Here is a 6,243-nt window from a genome sequence, read left to right on the forward strand (position 1 = left end):
CCAGCCTCTGGCTCAGGCATCGCCGAGTCCCATTGCTGCTACTTTCACCGTGACAGCAGGTCCACTCAGGGGCACCGATTTTATGGCAGGTGCTTTCCTTATATTATGTCATTTCATCCTGAAAGCCATCCTTTAAGATAGATCATACCCTCCTCATTTTACACAGAGGGAAACTGAATTTGGAGGAGATTATAAAACTTAATTCTAAACTATGCATTCATAAATGACATAGACAGAATGTAACTTAACTAAATAACAGCATTTATCCTGCACTGCAGGGCACTCCAAGGTTAATGCTTCACATGTGTTATAATATTCAAGCTTCACAACCACCCAACAAGCTATGATATGTGGCAGAGGTGGCTGCCTATTCACCAAAGCTGTGGGTTCATTATTCCATGCAGTGGAGCTGGTCCTGGTGCTGCTACCCATCAGGAACGGCATGTCCCACCCACTTTGTTCCCAGAATGGCTGCGGGCCTAAGTTTTGCCATTGGAAAATGAGAAGTGATGTGTGTAAATTCAAGGCAGGGGCTTTAAGAAGCAGGCGAGGCTTCTCCACCCTGTCTCTCTTGAGGCCTCCAGGCCCCAGGGTACGGAACAGCCACGGGATGGAGGCCTCTGTCCTCAGGTCCCTGTGTGACAGAAGACCATTCACCAGCCAGGGACATTTGTGTGGACTCCTGGTGAGCAAAAAAATGGGTTTATGAAATTCAAGGGCTTTTATAGCAGCTAATTTTGCATAACAAATCTAACATTATTGTTTCCGTTTAACACACAACTAAACTGAAGTTCAAAGACGTGAGTTCCACAGGAGTACAGGGCACCCCAAATCATCCAGAGGTCTGCCCCTCTTCCAAGCCCATGCTCTCTCTGCCCTGCGACCTGCTTGGTGAAGGGTGGGGTCTCTAATTCTTTCCCCCATTCTAGAACCCTAAAGTAAGGGAGGAACCCTCCATTCAGAAGGAATTGTGCTTCTATTACACCCAGTGACTGGCGGGACCCATGGATTGAATAAAATGACCATTGATAATGGGATAAATGGCACTACATGAATGTCCCCACATGTCAGGAACAGACTCTCCCCAGCCCTGCAGCCACAGAAATGAGCTGGTGCAAAAGGAACACAATGCGACCTGGGCTTCCCTGAAGTTCCCCAAATCTAAAATCAGTCAGGTAGCTGGAACCCGACTCCTCTTGGAAGACCGCTTTTATCATCCAAAACAACATTCATATATTTCTATCTGACCACAGAATTTTGTTCTCAGAAAGCCAGTCAAACCTACATAATCTGCCTACTATCAGCACTCCCTATTTACAAGAGCTCAGACAAGGAGGAGGCCCCAAGCCGCAGGCAGCAGTGCTGGGGTCATTATGAAACCAGAGTCTAGAATTGCACCTGGCACATCACGGGCTCTCAGTAAGTATTTGTTACGTGAGTTGTTGTTGTTTGTAACTGAGAAGCTACGTGGTGTTGCCAGTGAATTTTATCACTAAATAAGAGCATTAAAAAATTGTATCCACCATCATAATCATTTCATGAAAAAGTGCATGTTATACTGAAAAAAAAACTAGGAAGATATAATCTTAAGATATCCCTGAAATGCATGCCTTTGCCTTCTGAGAAACACATACCTCGGCCGTGTCTTCTGCTGCACACTGAAGAGCCATCGACGGCGGCCCTGCCACGCCACTAGTGTCTGCAACACTCTATGGTGATGGGAAGAGTCAGTCGGGCATCAGTTTGGGTCCTGGTTGTGCCTGTCATTCGCCAGTGACACCCTGGAGCTCCAGTTTCTTCGTTTGCAAAATGGGATCCTCAGAGACACCCACCTGGCCCTTTCACAGTGGGTTGCGGTTGGCGCTGTTGGGGCACGATGCAGGGGCACTTGCTGTGGCCTTGGTGTTAGGTCTCAAGAGAAATCTTAGGGGCCAGGAGGTTCTCTCAGCTCCTGACGGTAGGGCGGCGGGAGGCAGAGGAGACCTGCTTCGCATGGAGAATTCGTTTTCCCGCTTATGCCTTGTCCCCTCCCCTTCCCCAGACAGCAGCCAGCACGTTCCTGATATGGCAGACAATGCTGTGTGCAACACATCGTCTCCTCATCTGGACACGCGACAATGGTGCTCCCAGCCGCCCTCACAGTGAGCCTGGGCACGTGACGTTCTCGCCAACGGACCTCGCACAGAAGCGATGTGCCACTTCTAGTCCAAGGCAGAGAGTGCTCCCCGACCCATCTCTCTTCTCTGGCTGCAGTTATTCTGAGGCCTCTGATTCCGGCCTCAGGCAGCCTGGATTCCTGCACTGGCTGGGAGGAGGCCCATCCAGGGGGCCTCTTATCAGACTGTGACATGTGAGCAAAAAAGAGACTTTTTTTACTAAGCCACTGAGACAGTATCAATGACTCTGAATAAGACACCTAATAAAACAAAAGTCAAATCAAGTCACCACCCTGTCCATCTCATTGGGGTAAAAGCCAAAGTCCTTAAAATGCCCGAGAGCCCTATATGACCCAGCCTCCCAACACTTTCTGCCTTCACCTGTCACTGCTGGCTCTCACCTCCCTGCAGCAACACTGCCTCCCCACACACACCAGCACGTTCTGACTCAGGACCTTTGAACCTGCTGCACATCCTGCCCTCAGTGATGAGCCCAGCAAACTCTCCCATCTTTGTGAGGTCTTCATTCAAATGTCAGCTTCCAGTAAAGCCACTGTTGGCCACACTTCTTATCCCCTTTCCTTGTAGAAAATGGTCCCTTAATACTTACTACCATCTAATATGTAGTTTACTTATAGATTTTTATCTTATGTCTTCCTCTAATAAAATGTCTCCATGAGGGCAAGTGAGTGGGAGTGAGTGTGTGAGTGTGTGTGAGTGTGTGAGTGGGAGTGAGTGAGAGTGTGTGAGTGTGTGGGAGTGAGTGTGTGAGTGGGAGTGTGTGTGTGTGTGAGTGGGAGTGACTGTGTGTGTGTGTGTGTGGGAGTGTGTGGGAGTGGGAGTGTGTGTGGGTGAGTGTGTGTGAGTGTGTGTGTGTTGTTCACTCCTATATTCTTAGTGCCTAGAACAGTCTCTGGGGCATAAAAGAGGTTCAATCATCATTTGTTGAATAAATAACCTAGGACGATACAGGAACACATGTTACAGACAGAGGAGAGGAAAAATAGGAAGGAAAATAGGAAACTCTTATGAAAGAGGCCGTGCTTGAGCTGACCCTGTGACCTGGTGAAGGCCCAGCAGAGCACGTGGCATTCCAGGTGCAGAAGAAGCACCAGGTGGTGACACTCCAGGGGACAGGATGTGTGGCTGACATGAGGTTTCCACCAAAGCCAATGAGGAATTGTGGTGATGGCTGCAATCAGGACACAATTCAAGCAATATCGGTCTGCGCTGGGCATGCTCCGGGGTCCCCGCATTCTGTCAGTTCCCCGTATGTATTCTCTTACCCTACAAGACAGGAGTATGAGGACTGAGAAGCCACCTCCCAGAGGCATAACTGGGAGAGAGTTTCACAGCTGGTGGAGGACAGGCTGGACTCCAAGAGCTGCTCCAGCTCTGGGCCTGGGGCCTGGGGCCTGGGGATCGCTAAGCCACACAGTATGAGGCCTGAGGCCTTCCAGGATGTCTGAATGGTGGGTCTCAGGTGTTCCACCCCACTCGTGCTCTGGAATCTCCAGGCAAAGCATTGATGAGGTTGCCAGCAATCAAAGGGGAAAACCCACATCCACAGTCATCGTCCTGTGCGTCGTGTTCAGGTCCGTGATTGCTGTCATTTTTGAGTCTTGTTTGGTTTAAATTGCTCCCATATTCTTGTTCCCCTGTTACGATGCCACACCACATTTCAGGATGCCAGAGTCAATTCTGCAGTATTTACCTCGCCACAAGGACTAGAGTGGGTTTTCTTTTTCCTTTGTTTTGTTTTCTTTTCTTTTTTTTTTTTTTTTTTTTCCCAAAACTGGCTTTGCAGGCTTTTGAACTCAGGGAAGAGAAAGCAGGAATAAGGAGAGCGGTAACCACTGCTTTGAGTACCTGCTGTGATTTACGCACGGAGCCAACTTCATATCGGAACGTCTGGCTCTGCAGCTGGAAGGGAGCTGCAAAATGCATGATGTTATTCCCTGGTTAAGCCCAAACCTTCCCAAACATGGGGCATGTGGGCCCAAAAGTCTCCCTCCAGGCCCTGGGGCTCCTGAGCATCTCAAATACGTGGGACCTGCTGTGCCTGGCACTGCCCACAGTGAGGTTCTCACCGAGCTCTGCATCTGGGTGTGCAGGAGTGATGCGTGCTGCAATGGCGTGGCCACAGCTTCAGAAATGCCCGTGCCAGACCACAGTCCCACAGTGGGTGCAAGGCCCAGTGAGGTCTAGGTCCAGGGTCTCTCCACTCCTGTCAAATTTCTTCCACCAGCCCTCACCACGTCATCTGCAGGACTTAAACCCAAATATCACCAGCTCCCCAGAAACAGAGCCACATTTCACCAACTGTTGTTGGTGAATGGCCACAGAACCATATTTCTGAGAAATGATGCTGAAGGAGAAATGGAAACTGGCGTCGTGTGTCTGGGAAGCTGCTGCTAAAAGCAGCTCAGACCCCTGACCCTGCGGAGATGACCTGGGCAGTGAGCCCCCCAGCACCTCCGCCCAGAGCCAGAGCCAGCCCCGGTCAGTGTCTGCCCAGCTCAGGGTGAGGCCCAGGGAGGAAGGCCTGGCCACAGTGTCACCCGCAGCCCGGCCCTGGCGTCTCCCATGTGCGAGGCAACCCTTGCCCTCCCACTGCACCCTAAGCATAAGCTCTCCGGCCCCTGCACCTGGGCCTCCCCCTCTCACTATGTCGCCATGTCCTGGCCCCAGTGTGAACGGGCCACACTTCACCTCTTTGAAAGCTTTCAGAAAGCCACTGAGCCCCAGGCCGCCTGGGTGCAGCCAGCTCCCCCATCCCACAGTGCTGTGCCACAGCCTCTACAGCCTAAGGGTCTCGGCCCTCGCAGGGCCCCCAGCAGCCCTGCCACCTTGGCCACATAGGCCAGGCACCGAAGCACTGAGCCAGGAGCACGCAGGGTCACCTGGGTTGATAGCACTGCCCAGGGACACTTTCCCAAGGCAGGTCAGGGAGGCCCTCCTGAGCTTGCTGCACATGGCTCGCAGGTGTCTCCGGCTTGGCCTCAGGGTGGCCCAGGTCACCTCCCTGGACCCAGGGTCTGGCTGGCTTGAGCCCCTTGGCTTCCCCTGCCCATGCACAACGGGCAGCTGCCAGGCTGCTCACCGGGCACCCCCGCTGACTCAGCCTGGTGTGCTCGCAGCTATTTTGAAAAACGCAAACCTTCCTGTTACCGCCATCACCCTACTGTGCAGTAGGATCCCAGCATTTACAGGAGATTTCTGTGTCTTAACATGGAATAAGGCTGCCGGGTGAAGAAGGGATGGGGAGCTCCCGGCAGAGGCAGGAAGGAGTGAAGCACCAGGCCTGACCCATAGGAGAAATGTGGGGGTTCTGGAGGACCCCGTGATTAATCGACAGTTACTCTTGGTCTAGGTAGACAATAGGCACATTGTGGAGATGTAAGCTTGGTCATAGAGCAGCCAAAGGTGCAGTTGTGGCCTGGGCAGGAGAGCAGCACCTACACCTAGCAAGGGCCCCGGTACAAAGGACACCTGTGTACATACCCCAACCAGCAAGAATCCAGCAGGGTGGCAAGGGCCGGTGGGCATGGCCCACAAAGCGGCTGGGTCCTGGGTACAGGCTGGGTGTCCCCACGCTGTCTGTGCCCCTTGCTGTGCTGAGGTGGGCCAGTGAAGGGCTTGAGGCAGCCAGGGCCTTTGCTCTTGCGTGTGTTTCCTCAGCTGCTGACAGGGCTGATATAAAAGTCTAAGGATCCTTCGAAACCTCATACCCCAGGGTATCCTGCCTTTTTCTCTGGGGAGGCAGGAGGGATAGAAAAGGTTCCTCATGCCTGTAAGGGGGAAGGGACAGTAGAGGTGGGGGAAGGGGAGAAGCCCTTTTCCCTCCAGACTTGAGTCCTGAATAAATATACTGGCTTGAGCTCTTTGCAACATAGTGATGAAAGACCCTAAAAATTCCAATAAAATGTTGTAGCTTTCCCTAGAGAGGGAGCCTGCCAGAGGCCGCTGGCCTCCCCTGTCGAAAGTCAGACAGGAGCGGTGTGACCCCTCCATGGGCTGACCCGCCCGGGCAGCCACATCACGGGTCTCAGCAGAAGCCCCAGTGTCCTTGCCTGGCCCTTCTCCC

The 6,243-nt window shown here is 52.5% G+C and overlaps 1 long non-coding RNA gene across 1 annotated transcript; it reads right to left on the reverse strand.

The window, feature by feature from the left end:
• Positions 1–240: 240 nt before the first annotated feature.
• Positions 241–2,403, reverse strand: LOC124905968 (uncharacterized). The gene is made up of 2 exons (XR_007086193.1): positions 779–2,403; positions 241–682 (listed from the first exon to the last, which is right to left on the reverse strand). It is a non-coding gene; the product is annotated as an uncharacterized LOC124905968 (long non-coding RNA).
• Positions 2,404–6,243: the final 3,840 nt, after the last annotated feature.

This window comes from Homo sapiens, chromosome 2 (assembly GCF_000001405.40).
Source record: "Homo sapiens chromosome 2, GRCh38.p14 Primary Assembly".
NCBI classification, from domain to species: Eukaryota; Metazoa; Chordata; class Mammalia; order Primates; family Hominidae; genus Homo; species Homo sapiens.